The sequence below is a fragment of the Homo sapiens genome, chromosome 6 (genome assembly GCF_000001405.40).
Source record: "Homo sapiens chromosome 6, GRCh38.p14 Primary Assembly".
Lineage (NCBI taxonomy): Eukaryota > Metazoa > Chordata > Mammalia > Primates > Hominidae > Homo > Homo sapiens.
The window spans coordinates 162482849-162499100 of record NC_000006.12 but is presented as its reverse complement, the minus strand read 5'-3'; the positions used below and the strand labels follow the sequence as shown (position 1 = coordinate 162499100).

The window sequence follows — 16252 nt, the reverse complement described above, 5'->3', positions numbered from 1 at the left end:
TATCCCGCAGAAGACCTGGACTTACTCCCAGAGACAACAGGGAGCCACTGAAGTCTTTTTAAGTTGAACATGTTAGAATCTAATTTCTCTTTGGCAGCAACACAAACATGTTGCTGAAATGATTAAAATATTTGTTTAATAAATGGATGAGCAAACGAATGAATGAACATGCTTGTTTTTTCAGTCATACCTAGACAATGATCATTTTCAGTAGCATCTTGCCTATACATGAAGGATAAATAATAAAACAGCAGTTAACGGCTACTGTCCAATTCTCATAAACCTCATTTTACCTTACAGAATAATACAATTTCTTTCTCATATACACATTATTACATGTTATTTACTGTAATACTTTCATGGATACACATTAGGTTTTTTGACACTTATTTCCAGGATTCAGTCACTTAAAGGCGGCAGTTTATGGACTGTTCTAAAAAGAAGCCTGACCAACATGGAGAAACCCCATCTCTACTAAAAATACAAAATTAGCCAGGCGTGGTGGTGCACACCTGTAATCCCAGCTACTCAGGAGGCTGAGGCAGGACAATCGCTTGAACCCAGGAGGCAGAGGTTGCAGTCAACCGAGATCGCACCATTGCACTCCAGCCTGGGCAACAAGAGCGAAACTCCATCTCAAAAAAAAAAAAAAAAAAAAAAAGAAAAAGGAAAGAAACTCCATCTCAAAAAAAAAAAAAAAAAAAAAAGGAAAGAAAGAAAAAAAATGATTCTGCTGGAAGAGATAGTTACGTAGACTAGATAGACATCAAATGTTGAGTGTTGCCTGTGTCAGGAAGGACAGGACAAAGCTCCGTTCTTCAGGGAGCTTACAATTTATAGAGTTGGGTATAAGGATAAGATGTACAGGAGACTTGTACACAATAGACTGAACACCAGGTAGAGTCAAGTAAGTAGCAATAAGCACAAATCCCTTGTTCTGAGGGTTCAAAGGTGGAACTGAACACAACTGGTTTAGAGATCTCATCAATGTAAAGGATGTATACATTCTTTTTATGTTGTTTTCTATTTAAATGGTGTTTTTTTCCTTTTTTAAATAGACATATAACAATTGTACTTATTTATGGGTACATGTGATATTTTGTTACATGCATACAACATGTAATGACCAAATCAGGGCATTTAGAATATCCACCACTTCAAACATTTATAATTTCTTTGTGTTGGGAACATTTCAAATCTTCTAGCTATTTTGAAATATACAATAAATGATTGTTAACTATAGGAATTCTGCTGTGCTATTGAAAACTAGAACATATTCCTTCTATCTATACTCACTTCCATTAACCAACCTCTTTTCCTCCTCCCCCCTTATGCTTTTCGTAGAAGATGGAATACTGTGTACATTTGGTTGTGTTTTTCAAACTGTGTCATTCGCATGGCATGTAAGAAGTGGAGGCGCCTAGACTCAGCAAAGACACGGCTCAACATTGCAGAGCTTTATTCAGGCACAACAGATAATTCATGGCCTCCCTCTGCTGCACAAAATGAGCTGCTCTGCAAAATGATTCTAAGTGTTTTGAATTAATGAAAATGCAGCACAAAGGGCGTTTGAGTCCAACAGTGCAGAGCCATAGTTCTTTTGTAAAAATTGTAGAGCCAATTTGCTCATATGCAAAGGCATGGGAATTTATCTCTGGGCTCACATTTTGACAATCACAATTTGGAGAATTATGTTTTTCTAGACTTCTAACACCTGATACTTTATGTAATCTTTAGTTCTTTTACCTATTTCCGGAAGCGTAGTTAGGTGTTTTGTTAAGTTTAGTTACTTAAAATAATTTCTTTCTCTTTGACTACTTGCCAAGTTTAAATTCACTGAATATTCACTGAGCATCTACTATGCACAAAGCAGTGACAGTATAGTGAAATTTATTATAGTCAAATTACATGGGGCACAAAGGGAGGTTAATGGTTATGCCACACCCTATAAAGGAGATTTCCATTGGCTGAAGAGTTGATATATGAACTGAGTTAAAAGGAAAAGTGAGGCTGATTCAGAATTTATACAATTAGCCATTACAACATCACTAAGATAAATCTAAAAATATACTGTTACATATACAATAAAAATATGTATTTATAAGTTATTTCCCATTGGATTCCACCTAAAGGAGGTTTCGAAACATGGCAGCCTCTTTCTTCATTATAAGGTGATTTTGCTGTAAACCAGGACAGTGGCAGATAGACATTCAAATACAAGTGTAGCCTTGAAGGAATAAACAACATGGAAAATGGGCTTATAGTTACAAGTATTTCATATACATAATTATGGCTACAATTTATCAATTGCGTCTAAAGTGTCTCTTTTCTGCTAGGCACTTATTATGTCTAATTTAATCTTCTCTACAGCTTTGTCACATAGATATCATTGCTTCCATTTTTAGAAGGAGAAAAACCAAGGCTTAAATGGAAAATAACACACTCAGGATCATTGCGAGGAGCCAGAATTTGCACGCATGTGTATAAGCCTTTCCTATTCTGTATGTGTTTAAGGAGAGAGAGAGAGATTTGTTTCATCTGAGACATTTATTATCTACTGAGGAGTCAACTTTTCTAAATGAATCTAAGTTTATATATTTGATATTTGGGAAAAGGACTTTTTTTCCATGTAAGAAGTAAACCAAGTTTCATTTCAGCCCTAACAGTGATAAAGAGTTAGCTGTATATCCAGCTGCTTGAGTGGGCCTATTACTGTCACAAAATACCTGCTCCTATTATGTAAAATCCATTACAAAGAATGTAGAAGTTACTCATGCAAGTATAAATTTACTTTTCTACCAGCAGAATTCTCTACAATCAATCATTTTAATCTATACTGTTTTTTTCTTTCTTTTTTTTCCCCCGAGACTGAGTCTCGCTCTATTGCCCAGGTTGGAATGCAATTATGTGATCTTGGCTCACTGCAACATCCACCTTTGGGGTTCAAGCTGTTTTCCTGCCTCAGCCTCCTGAGTAGCTGGGATTACAGGTGCTCGCCACCATGCCTGACTATTTTTGTATTTTTAATAGAGACAGGGTTTCACCATGTTGGCCAGGCTGGTCTCAAACTCCTGACCTCAAGTGATCCACCCACCTTGGCCTTCCAAAGTGCTGTGAGCCACCGCACCTGGCCACATTAAAGGTTTATATAGTGAAAGATAGTATAGTGAAGTGTATGTGGGAGGGGACTAGATCATATGTGAATGAATGTATGGAAAGGGGGCAGGAGTTGGTGACCCCGGACCGGCTGTGTCACAGGCTGTCCAGGTGTGGGATGGTGAGAACCTGGTGAGGAGGCTGGAGGCACAGTGGAGATGTGTCTGGAAGCACCTGTGGACGTCGGTGATGGTGCTGAGTGCCATCAGGGAAAGATGAACAACACTTGGCGGCAGTGTTTTAAAATTGAGTGACAGTGAGAAAGAAAGATGACACTGGCAGAGAATCTGCAAGGGCTCATGGCTCTGAGGACCAAGATGACGTTTGCTCTTTAGGTATCACACTGAGATCTGGCTTTGAAGTGTGTGTGTGCCAGGTGGCTCACACGGCACACTGGAGGTGAGACAGTCAGTGGGCTGTGGGTGTCAGCTTGGACATCAGAATAGAGTGGGAAACAATGGTTCCCCAAGCTCTTGGCATTCAGGTCTCACCTCCCTCCCCCAGCCACTGGCCCACTGTGTCATTTGGACACAACTTAATACCATTTCAAAATATTTGAGACTGAAATAAAAAGACCAAAAAGTGCTGTACAGATCAGAAAGCCTGAGGTTTCTTGATGGACTTAAATTTAATTCTCTGATGAGAAAAACTCTAATTTTGTATACTTAGATCTTTTTGGAACACGATATGTATTAAGTAGTTTAAAAAAGTAAGAAGTATGGTTTTGATATTTAAGTCCATCTCAAATACTTCTTTGAATAACTTTTTTCATTAGTAAGAGCTGAAAGAGGAAAATTTATGTATTAGGCTTTCAGTTCACCAAGTACTCTACCCAAATAGCTCTATTGTATGATGTCTCTCGATTAACTGTCTTTTAATGTGGATATCAAACTCCACCATTAAAATGATGTTTTCCTTCAGTGACAGTGAAATATCTTACTGAAATCAATGGTTTCCAGTTTGGTATCGTTCTTTTTGGCTTCGCCATCATTTCCTTGGAGGGAGAGGTTAAGTACTTGTTAGCTACTATGTTCTGGTCTCTAATAAAAATAGGATTAGATTCTCTTAGGTTTAGAGTGGAGCCAGGGTTCTGTTAGCTTAGTCCCTGGTACGACATAGGCAAAATGCCTACTTCGCTTGATTCTACAGCTATGAAAAAATGAGAGAGATTTTCTCAGCAGGGTAACTGGGATTTTTAGTTAATAATAACACAGTATTTACTGTGCATTCCATGCCAACTTTACATTCACTATCTCCCTTAAACCACCCAGTGATCCTATGAGATCTTCACAATTACAATCCCCATTTAAGAGGTTTATTCAAGGTTCCAACCCACATATGTCTGATCATATATACAAGCAGCTTTGTTATAGGGATTTGACCTTCTGCAATTGTGAGGGCTGATCAAGCAGTGTTTATAAGGCTGTTGTCTCACATTGGATGCTGGAGCTTGAAGTCCACATGGCAGGCTCTGGAGAAGAGAAGGTTGATATGAAGTGGGGGAGAGCAAGAAAATCTCAACCCTGATGCTGGAACTTGTGTCACTGTTGTTGCCTCTGGGCTTACTGGGGTCTTGCAGAAGCCAGGGTTCCCCACCAGGGTGCTAAACAAGCACACCTGGCCCTGGGTCAGAGATGTTGAGGAAAGGCCAGGGGACACAGCACAGCTGCAGGCCCAGCTGTTGCCTGATGCCAACGCCCAGGCTGTAGATGACAACAGCCTGTGTAAGCTGCAGAATGAAGGGTGGCTGCTTCAGCCCATCTTCCAGATCCCACCTAAGAACCTCTCTTATTTATAGTGCACCACAATGGGAGACATGGAGAGAATGGGATTCTGGGAAATGTAGTCCAGACAGCCACAGTGGCACATTGCAGCATCTCCACAATGAGGCAGGAAAGACGAAATAGATGGACAGTAACAGTAAGGAGGGGATTGGGTAAAGGCCATGTAATCATCCATCATGCGATTCAGTCACCACATTGCAGAGTGGGAAGAGGATATAGAGGTCATTGAGTTTTCTCCCTCATCTCACAAATGGGGAAGTCCAGTCAAAGCCTAGGAGGCTGGTTTTCCTGAAGACACTGGATGAGGCCAGCTGGTGAGAGGTGGAAAGCCCCTTCTTCTCCATCTTTATTTAGCTTCGTTGAGATGGTGTGGGGTTATCAGTGGATAATCTAGGCTCTGTGTGTACCAGGGCTTCCTTATGGAAGGAGTGGTCATGCATGGACGCTTTCGTCAAAGGATGAAATAACACAATTCTTATTTTCTTATCACCAGCTTAAATATGCAAATTCAAAAAACTTTCAGTATTCCCCATTTATCTTCTTCACTGCTCATATTTCTTGAGTCTGTCTTCTTAGTTATAAGCTGATTATTCTTCTCTTTGAAATATGTAGTTTCTTAGACCCAAGAGATAAATCTTTTTATATCTAAAATATGAACCTTTTCTCTGAGTACCTTATAGTCACCTGATAACTCTATTTGTGGAATTAAGTACTGCTGATGGCATTGCTGAGTGTCCTTGGCTCATTGCTGCCTGATTTTCATTCTTGTAACCAACCGCATCTGAAAAGTTCTTTCAAGTCCATAATATCCCTCTTTGCCTCTACAAACCCAGCAAAGTTTCCTTTTACTGTCTCCAACCTTTGGCCTTCAGGAAGGATAAAGGGAGAAGTCACCTTTGGTCCTTCCTCTTCGCAGTTCTCCCTTTTCCATTTTAAATTGCCTCTCTCTTCCTCTACATAAAGGGATGGTGGTTCTGAGAAGCAGCTGCAGCAGGTTGGCGATAGAAATGTCCATTGATTTTTATCCTGCTGGCCGAACAAGGGAAGTAAGAGATAGGCTGGTATAAAACAAAAAACTCTGGAAGAAGAGATTACATGTCTTCTGCATGAGCACCATCCTCCTCCCTTGGGTGTGGGAGGGGGCAGGAAGCACAAGTGTGCATGAGACATGTTCTTCTGCTTCTTTTTTTTTTTTTTTTTTTTTGTTTGAGACAAAGTCTCGCTCTGTTGCCCAGGCTGGAGTGCAGTGGCGGGATCTCAGCTCACTACAACCTCCGCCTCCCGGGTTCAAGCAATTCTCCTGCCTTAGCCTCCTGGGTAGCTGGGACTACAGGCATGTGTCACCACACCTGGCTAATTTTTTTGTATTTTTTAGTAGAGACAGAGTTTCACTGTGTTAGTCAGTATGGTCTGGATCTCCTGACCTCCTGATCCACCCACCTTGGCCTCCCAAAGTGCTGGGATTACAGGCGTGAGCCACCGCGCCCGGCCCCACACCTGGCTAATTTTTGTATTTTTTAGTAGAGAGGGGGTTTCACCATGTTGGCCATGCCAGGCTGGTCTGGACCTCCTGACCTCAGGCAATCCACCTGCCTCGGCCTCCCAAAGTGCTGGAATTACAAGTGTGAGCCACTGCACCCGGCCATTCTTCTGCTTCTCGACTTTCAGGTGTGTGAGGCCAGACAGGACATTTCTTTCTTTCCTCGATAAAGAGCCTCAGCCCAGGGATGGGACCTGTGAGACAAGAGAGGTGGCTCTCAGCACAATCTGAGCTGTGCTCCCCTAGGCACTGCTGTGGAGCTCAGCCTGCATTGAATGGTTGGAAGCTTCATGCAACCCAAACTCTTCTGCTACTTGGATGAGCCAAGGGGTGAGGATAAGCAAGCGCACCCTTCAATGCAAATTATTTCCCCTTCGTCTTTCAGGTGACATTTGTCACTGTGGCCTTACAGGCCAATCTTTTATCATGTTAGTCATTTAGGCATCTGGCTTTTAGTTCATGTGAGCATGGTAAGAGACTAGTGGAAGCTTCCAGAAGTACAGAAGAGGAGACCAAAAGAACTTCAGACTTGGGGCATGAGGGCATGAGGCCGAGTTCAGAAGCAGGACCATCTTGTTTCCATTTCCTCTGCACCCGAGACACGTCTGCCACAGTCACACCTAGAAATCCAGATGGCCCAGAGACAGCAGAGGCACCGAGGTACTCAGTCCAGGTATCACAGCAAACTGTCCGCCATCTGTTATTAATAGTAGCTTCTCAGCAGCAGTTTATTTCTCAGGGAACACGTGATCTGCTGACAGGATACTTTTGCTCAGGAGTGTTCTAGCCACTGGCATGTTATCAAGACATGGAGCCATGCCCGGAAGTCCCTGATTGTGCGGCTGGTCACCTCAACAAGCTACCCGGTGTGGACCCTGCTGCAGACCTTCCAAGGAGCTGTGACGAATGGGCCTCAAAGGCATCTGCCCAAAAGACTGGTTCTCCCTAGTCAAGCCTGACCCCCTGAGCCAGCTGCCTTGCTCCCCCAGGCTTGTGTATGAGCCGGATGGCTAAGTCAGTCTCCATGGGCGTCCCACGAGCTGGCAGTGTATGAGGCATATGAAGGCGGAAAGTGAGTGAGGCACGGCAACTGCAGTCAGGTGCTGTCTGGGCGCAGCTGCAGGCAGTGGCTGGAGCATGAAGGTGGACTAAAGGTTGTAGGGTGACGTCGTCACGCACACCTGGTGCGTCACCTCTGTCTGGGCCCTGGAGACCCAGTGAAGCATGGTGATCTCAGGTTTTCCTTCATTGTGTTTTCAAAATGGTTCTTATGCTGAGCAATTTGTTGTTTACACCCTACAAAGTGGTCCCTGGTGCCATCCTTGGTTGGTTGGTTTTTTTTTTTTTTTTTGAGCCAGAGTCTCATTCTGTTGCCCAGGCTGGAGTGCAGTGGTGCAATCTCAGCTCACTGCAGCCTCCATCTCCTGGGTTCAAATGAATCGTGTGCCTCAGCCTCCCTAGCAGCTGGGACTACAGGCATGTGTCACCAGACCTGGCTAATTTTTTTTTTTTTTTCTGAGACAGAGTTTCACTCTTGTCACCCAGGCTGGAGTGCAGTGCTGCGATCTGAGATCACCACAACCCCCGCCTCCTGGGTTCAAGCGATTCTCCTGCTTCAGCCTCCACGCCCAGCTAATTTTTGTATTTTTAGTAGACACCAGGTTTTGCCATGTTGGCCAGGGTGGCCTCGAGCTTCTGGCCTCAAGTGATCCACCCTCCTTGGCTTCCCAAAGTGCTGGGATTACAGGCATGAGCCACTGCACCTGGCCCCTCGTGCCGTCCTTTTGAAGGGCTCAGTGTGAGGGCAGTGCTGAGGTCTGGATGCTGCTCTCAACGCTTTTCCTGAACGATCCATCTTTCCATTTAAACTTTGTAGGCATTGAGAGTGTGGATATGTGAAAGTTGTCCATTCACGAAATGTGATTATGGTTGCATTTTTCTTAATGAATATAGACCAGCTTCCTTTTTGGCTTAGTCTATTATTAAAATCATTTATTAGAAATATCAAATAAGCATGAAATTCGTTTTGTTTTCTTAAAGAAAAAAGGTAGAATACTTTGTTTAGAGTCTTAAAGGGATTACAGGAAACTATGGGAAAAAATTCCTGGATTCTGGAATTAAGTGTTGTCATCTCCATTTTCTGATCTATTAGTGAGTGTTATTTTTTGTTGCACTGACTAGGAAAATATAGATGACTGTATTCATGATCTTCTGTATATCAAAACAAATTTAAAGGTATAACAGTTAGTGAAATGTTTATTTCTTCTGTGAAGTTAAATGTTGGTTGCTTTTCTTTCTTTTCCTGGTGGTTTAGAAGTAAATAAATGTTTGCTTAAATATTTCATAAAAGGGTAGACTTTGAAAAGAAAAAGCACACTTTTTCCCCCCGACAAATGATTGAATTTCTTTTTCCTCATGAGGCAATAACCCAGAAAGTAATAAGGGTGTAGAGGCTCCTGCAGGCAGTGTTTTAAGTCCTTTTCTCTTCCCTCTTTATGAAAACCTGTCACATCGCTTCCAAGGACTCTGCAGGGAGCCATGAGAGAGTATGCTGTCACTGTCACTATGGTAAGGACATCCCATCTCTACAATGGGACAATATTTAGTTGCTTTGAGGATGCAAAGTGATTTGCATCTGACCTCATGCCAGCATTTTCTTGCTTTAAAAAGAAACAAGGATTTAAGGTATAAAGACACTTCTTAGAAATTTACCCCAAGGAAATTGGGGATAATGAGGAGGGGTTGTGACCCTGGAACATAGAGAAAAGTTACTGGAAGCAAAGAGACTGTGATCTGTAGCAAAGTGGAGATGGCCAGAGTGGGGTGTTTGTGAGTGCACGGACAGCACATCCTTCAGGGACTGTGAAATCTGAGACACCACAAGGGTACAAAGTAGAAGGCAAATTGGAAATAATTTTTCTCCAAGTTGATAGTGACCAGGGGGTGGGAAAGTTATTCCTGCATTGCTGCCCCCAACATACTTATAACTCCTTTGAAATTTGAGGCTTGAAGTGTTTATTTCACAAGTAGCTCATGCTGTCGGGCAAAGTGCGGTTTTGCGTAAAAATAGGGACTCAAAACAAAGATTGATTCATCAGCCATGATGAACTTTGTTTTGTTAAATTTAAACAAACTGGTCCAAACTCATACTTTTTTGTGGGATAGATTTTCTATCTTTCCTCAGTGCAGGCAGTTGAAAAATACAGAGTTTTAATATTCTGTACTGAATCCCTTTCTAATGTTTTACTTTGTGCACTTAGAAGATAAGTATTCTTCTGTGAAACAAGCTAAATGTATGCTGCTTCAGCTTTTCATATGTCGCTTTGGAGGAGGGCCAGCAGAAGAATTCTAGAATATAATGCCATCCTTGATTGTTTCATAGAGATTAACTGAATTTTTGTGCATTGGAGTAAATTTGAACTTTGTTTAAGGTTTATACCAGTACATAGATTATTAGGTTGTTCTTTAAGACACTGCCTTATTTAGAGTAGGTGACATTTACAATTTAGGAAAAAGGAAGAGGAAGGAAGGAAGGAAGGAAGGGTGAGCTCCTTCTCCCTGGACCCCTGCTCCTTTCTCCCTGTGCCAAATTGTTAACTCCTACTCATCTTTAAAGTTTCAGGAGTGGTGGCTTATCCTGGATCTCCACAGACAGACCCAGACCCCAGGCTTCAGGAACACCTTTACCCCCTTCTTAGTATCACCTATCAGAGTTCTAATTTCAGTTTGCATGATTATTAAATATTTGTCTTTCCTGCTAGAGTGTAAACTCCATGAGGGCAGGACCCTTTCATTGCTTGACTATGGATTCCTAATGCCCAAGAGCCTGGCAGGGGCTAGTGTCAATCACCAGCACTATTTGTCCCTTGCTATGCGTCGGGGCCTTTTCCAACACCATGTGGGCCTGCTCGTGCTGTTCTCACACAAGCAGCCCTATGCAGTGAGCAGTATTGTTCTCATTTACAGAGGAGGAAGTGATACTCAGAGAGGACGGTCACCCATCCAGAGTGACAGAGGTAGTCAGTGGCTGTCTGACCCCACCACCTGTGTTCTTCATTATCATGCTGGATAGCCTCTGAGGAAGTGTGAGTAGAGAGGAGGAAAGGAGGAATGCTATTCAGCCTGAGCTCTGCTGATCTCATGAGGTATGGCGCTGCAGCTGGAGGCGACCCACACCTTAGTGGATGTGGGGAAATCTCCTCAGTGAAGAGTGGATTTGTGGAGACCATGCATCCACACTGGTGGCACTTGCTTTTCAATAATTTTATTGTCGTGGGACATACATGAGTAAAAATGGAAATTCCAAATAGGATCAGGCATAGGGGCGTTTCCTTAATTTGACCTAAAACATGCATGCCTGGAGATTCTCATTGGTTTGATAAGACAAAGAAAGAAAGTCAAAGAATTATTGGGAATATTCAGCTAAGAGTAACAGGAATTCTTCCTTCTATAGACAGCCCTGTGATTTTTGTGGTGTTTAAACTTTGTAAAATCTGGATTTTATCAGGACAAGTGAAAAATTGCAGAGGACTAATTCCTAAATATTAGTGAGTGTTTAACCCTCCGCCAAAAAAAAAAAAAAAAAAAAAAAAAGGGAAATGGTGGATGTAGTGTCTGTTCTTATGTCTGGGAGGCTGTCTAGGCAAAACTCTTCTTTTTGGTGTTAAAATACCCATTATTTTAATTTAATTTTATTATTTTTTGAAAGTAGAGATGGGGGTCGCACTTTGTTGCACAGGCTGGTCTGGAACTCTTGGCCTCAAGTGATCCTCCCACCTTGGCCTCCCAAAGTGTTGGGATTAGAGGCATGAGTCCTCATACCCAGCCAGGCGTTATTTTATAAAACAGTTTTGCTAGGTTATTTGTTTGAGTGAGGTTTTCAAAAATGTTTTTAAAGAACAAATAATAGTTGTTTCTATGTTGAATTCTTCACTTAAAAAAAAAATTCTGGTCCATGAAATTCAAAGGCCTGGGAACCACTGATTGTAAGAACTTAAATCTATTATGTTAGTGAAGCTTTTTGCCAGGAAGTCCTTGTGTAGATTTTATGTAATTCTTTGCTCGTTTTTCCAGTTTTATGTGTGTTCATTTCCTCAGTAAAGAAAAGGAATTACTGAGAAAATCATAAAAAGTGATGACAGGGAGCGTAAAAAGCCCCACCACAAATGTGTCCTGCCACGCGTGCAGGCTCTCCTGGGGACAGAGGCTTGTGCCTGGGAGATACACACAGCCTCAGAAAACCAGTCACTTGGCCTTCCTTCTCAAGGAACAAACTAGAATTGGTGTTTCTATCTCTATACAAAGTCTTGCCAGCCTCCGTTAGAGAATGAAAACGCAGAGGCTGTCTGGCAAAGTCAACTAACAACCACTCCATAAGGAAGCACTTTCTGCAAAGCTGACCCCAGGAATAACCCTTTAGACACTGGGTGGTCAAGGAGGTAGAGTTCATATCTTATTAGATTTTAAAGAGTTAATCACACTTTCTAGACCTTCTTAGTAGGTGATTATGCGTTTTTTTCCTTAAAATCTACTTTTCTTTTCTTTTTTTTTGAGACTAGAGTCTCACTCTATTGCCCAGGCTGGAGTGCAATGGTGCGATCTTGGCTCACTGCAACCTCTGCCTCCTAGGTTCAAATGATTCTCCTGCCTCAGCCTCCCGAGTAGCTGTGATTACAGGTATGCACTACCACGCCCGGCTAATTTTTGTGTTTTTAGTAGAGATGGGATTTCACCATGTTGGTCAGGCTGGTCTTGAACTCCTGACCTCAGGTGATCCACCCACCTCGGCCTCCCAATATGCTGGTATTACAGGCATGAGCCACCACGCCTGGCCAAAATCTACTTTTATATGAGAGTACTGATGTGTTTATCTTGTGACATGCTCCATATGGTGTCTTACATGTAATGAGGCTTTTAAAATAACTTTTGAATATGCAGCCTTATAAAATAGTCTTTCTTGTTGGTAGAATGTCAAGTAAAACAACCACCATTTGAAAAGGCATTTGATAATACCTATCAGAAATGCAAGTGGACATGTTCTCTGACCCAGAAACTTCACTTCTCATATTCGGTCTCTCACAAATAGATGAGCAAGTGTATGGTGGTACATATTCACAGATGCATTATTGTTAATTATGAAAAACAGAGACAACTGGAATGGCCCCCCAAGGGAGAATGTTTACATAAATTCTGATATGCACGTGGTGTGGTACACCATGACACCAAAAGAAAAAAATGTGGTAGAACTGTAGTTCCTTTAACGGAAGGAGTTTTGTGCATTATTGAGTACAAATGGAATTGTAGAACTTTTTGTATGATACCATTTTTGCTTAAACAGCAGGCTAGATTGATATGTGCATCATATATATCAATCATACATATTCATACATACGTACATATACATATGTATGAGTAGTAATGCAGCTTTAAGAGCCTGCAAAGTTGTACACCAAAATATTAACAGCACTTTCCCCTGGAGAGTGGAATTAGGAGGGGGTTGGGTGGAGAGGGGAGTCACTTTCATTTTTAAAGTGTATGCACGTTTCAAAAATAAAAGAGCAATTCATTTTATAATTTAAGAAAAACAAAAGACTGAAATAAACCCCTCTTAATGTCAGATATTAATTTGTTAGCGATTTGTGTGAATGCAACTTAATAGCCACTGACAATCATTTGACGTAAAACAGGCTTTGCATATGCGATAGAAGATTATGGTTCTTTAGGATTTTCTAACAAGCCTTTAGCTCCTTCAGGTTCTCCAGCCAGACTGAAGATGCAGTGGGTGAGATTCCATTTCTGTCAGTGTGACTGTGGTTCCCTCAAATCTCAATCACCTGTGTCTGTGCACTCCAGTAGGCGACTAACTGAGATTGAACAGGTTGCTCCAAAGGGTAGTTAACTCAGATTAATGTGAACAGTTGTTGGGGTAAAGACAAGTGTAGTGGGTGTCAGTACAAAGCAGCTGTCTCCTTGGTGAGTTAAACCACGTGTGGCATCCCAGTACCCTGCTACTGCATCAAATTGAGTTACTAGTTGTGGAGAGGAAGATAAATACCAGTGTGCAGGTGGGAGTCAAGTGCTAATTTACTATTTTGAGAAAAACCAATCACATTTATTTTGGCTTTCTGCTGTAACATTTAAGTCTACTTCTGACCTCAAAGGAAATAATTACCTATTTTATAAGTCATTAGTTGTGCTGAGTAGCATTTAAAAAATAGCAGTGTCTCTCATACTACTTTGGTGTTTTCTAAAATAATTGCACAAAGTCACTGTGCCCACATGTTTTAAAAATAAGCTATGCAAACACAATTGTTATCTCTAGCTGAGTTTTAATGCTGTAAGTAAAAAATAATACGTACCATTCCTCTAAAGAATCCTTAGTTGATCATGAGCTTTGAATTGAAGAATATCCCTAAATATCCAATTTTTCTAAGGAATAAAGAAAAATCCTATTACTTTATTAAAGATATTCCAGTGGGTTAACTACAAAAGTGACGAATGAATGCCCTCAACACTTGTGTAAGTACTACAAAACTTCTGAAATTATATAAAATGTATTTTTTATGTTATAGAATTTACATTCACATTAATAATTACTGATGAGATTTGTCTTTGTTTTTCCTGATTATGAAAAGAATATATGCCACAGGCCATAGAAAAACTAGTAAATATGACCACATAAAAATTTAGAGTTCCTCTAGGGAAAATGATATAAACAATGTAAAAGTAAAATTGATGAACTGAAGAAAACCATTTAATGTAAGTGATAAAAGGGCCAATTTTCTTGAATATGCTAACAGCACTTACAAATAATAAGGAACAAAATGCCCAATAGGCAAATGAGCAAACATGATGAACAGATAGTCACAGTGTTATACATCACAATGACCAGGACTCCTAAGAAGCATGCCCCGTCTCACTGCAGCTGAAGAACCGCAAATTAAAAGCACTGTTGATCTCAGTAGGCACGTTTATGGACTCCGATGTACTGTTACTCTCTTGATTCGGAAGGCTAACAAACATCTCTACGTTAATGTGTCCCAAACAGAATTCTTGTTTTTGTCTTCTTACACCTGCTAAGCTGTTTGTAACTCAGTCATACCCATCTCAACAGATGCCAACATTGTTTATCTGGATACTCAAGCCAAAAGTCAGTCCAGCCTGAGTCCCCTTCCCCCGATCCATTATATCTAGTTACAGTATCAACTCCTGTTGGCTGCATCTTTAGCATGTATGCAGGGTCTGTCAGCCCCACGGAGACCCCCTGTTTTGCTACCACCATTCCTGAAGAGGTCTTCCTGCCTTGACACTTATTCCCTAATGAACCGTATTCTTCACCTAACATTTAGAATGATCTTTTTCATCTTCATTAAAATAGAGTCTGCTTACCTTTCAAAACAGGTAATATATTTACATGATTCAAATTTCAAAATTTTCCACTAGGATTTACAGTGGGACATTTCCCACCAACTTCTCTTGCCCAAACAGCCAGTTCCTTTATATTAAGAGGCATCTGATGCTATCGTTGCTTTCTTCTTTTTTAGACATACTTTATGCATAGACAACCATATATATCTTTTTAATACAGATGATCAAATGATAGCATATTTTTGCAATGTTTCATTCAGTGGAAATATCTCTACATCAGTACATATGAGCATCAGTATTTTTCAAGAATGTATGGTATTCCCTTAAATGAATGGAACACAAGGTATTTAACTTAACTTGTCCCCTATTATTGACACTGAGCTGAATTTTTTCAGCTTTAGCTGTTATAAGCAATCTTGCAATTAGTAGTTTTATAGACACATCATCTTACATATGTCTACATATTTCTGTCATGTAAATACCTAAAAGTAGAATTGCTGGATCAGAGGGCTTGTGCCTTTCTAATTTTGATAGAGCTGTCCAACTTGTCCTTCTTGGTAGCCTTACCATTGTAGACTGCCTCCAGCAATCTGTGAGATGGCTTGTTTTTCTTCACCTTTTGGAACATCATGTGTTATCACATATTTAAAATCTTCTTTCCTTTCCCCGTCTCCCTCTCTCCCTCTCTCCCTCCTTCCCTACGTCCCTTCTTTCCTTCCTTCCCCGCCCCCACTGCCGCCACTGCCTCCTTCACAGAGTTGAATCTGTATCCCAGTCTGATGCTTCTCAGCTTCCTACACCTCCCTCCAAATTTTTAAATATATATTTTCTAATTTTAAAAATTTGCATATAGTTAAATTAACTTTTTTGGTGCACAGTTCTATGTGTTTTTACATAGGCATAACTTCTTTTACCTCCACCACACATAAGACACAAAACAATCGCAACTCCCCAAAGAATCCATCCCCGCTTCCTTCACAGGTGTCTCACCCAATAAATTTCTTGCACATGTCATCAGATCTTGATGTCTGTTTCTCAGAGAGGACCCAGACTCGAATATCGTGAGACTGGGTTTTGTGCATATGGCAGATAAATTATCCTTGGGATAGGGGTTCACATTATGTTTGTCTTCTGGTGATGTGACTTTTTACACTTTGAGTAGCATATATTTATGGAGGCTGTAGTAATTATAATGAGGTATAATCATATAGTCATTATAATCATAGTATAATCATAGAGTCATTTCTGGGTCTTAATGTCTTCAAGTCTTACACATCCGTCAAAAGTTGGGCTGTAACAAATAGAGCTAGCTGTCCAACAATGGAATCAGTGCATACCCTCAGGCCGGAGTGTTTCTGCTGGACTGCGTCAGTTTGGTATTAGGTATGATGGATAATAAATTTCC

At 41.0% G+C, this 16252-nt stretch overlaps 1 protein-coding gene across 5 annotated transcripts in view, besides 2 other annotated features; it reads left to right on the top strand.

Moving 5' to 3' along the window:
* PRKN (parkin RBR E3 ubiquitin protein ligase) overlaps positions 1 to 16252 on the top strand; it is a 1380350-nt gene that overhangs the window by 228666 nt on the left and 1135432 nt on the right. The window lies entirely within an intron of this gene.
* Positions 10261 to 10762: an enhancer, noted in NCBI's record as "NANOG hESC enhancer chr6:162909371-162909872 (GRCh37/hg19 assembly coordinates)". NCBI's record gives its function as "activates a minimal SCP1, AML or CMV promoter by ChIP-STARR-seq in naive H9 embryonic stem cells {active_cell/tissue: H9 hESC(naive)}" and the evidence as "EXISTENCE:reporter gene assay evidence [ECO:0000049][PMID:30033119]".
* Positions 10396 to 10445: a silencer, noted in NCBI's record as "silent region_17767". NCBI's record gives its function as "represses an Ori minimal core promoter by ATAC-STARR-seq in GM12878 lymphoblastoid cells {active_cell/tissue: GM12878}" and the evidence as "EXISTENCE:reporter gene assay evidence [ECO:0000049][PMID:35858748]".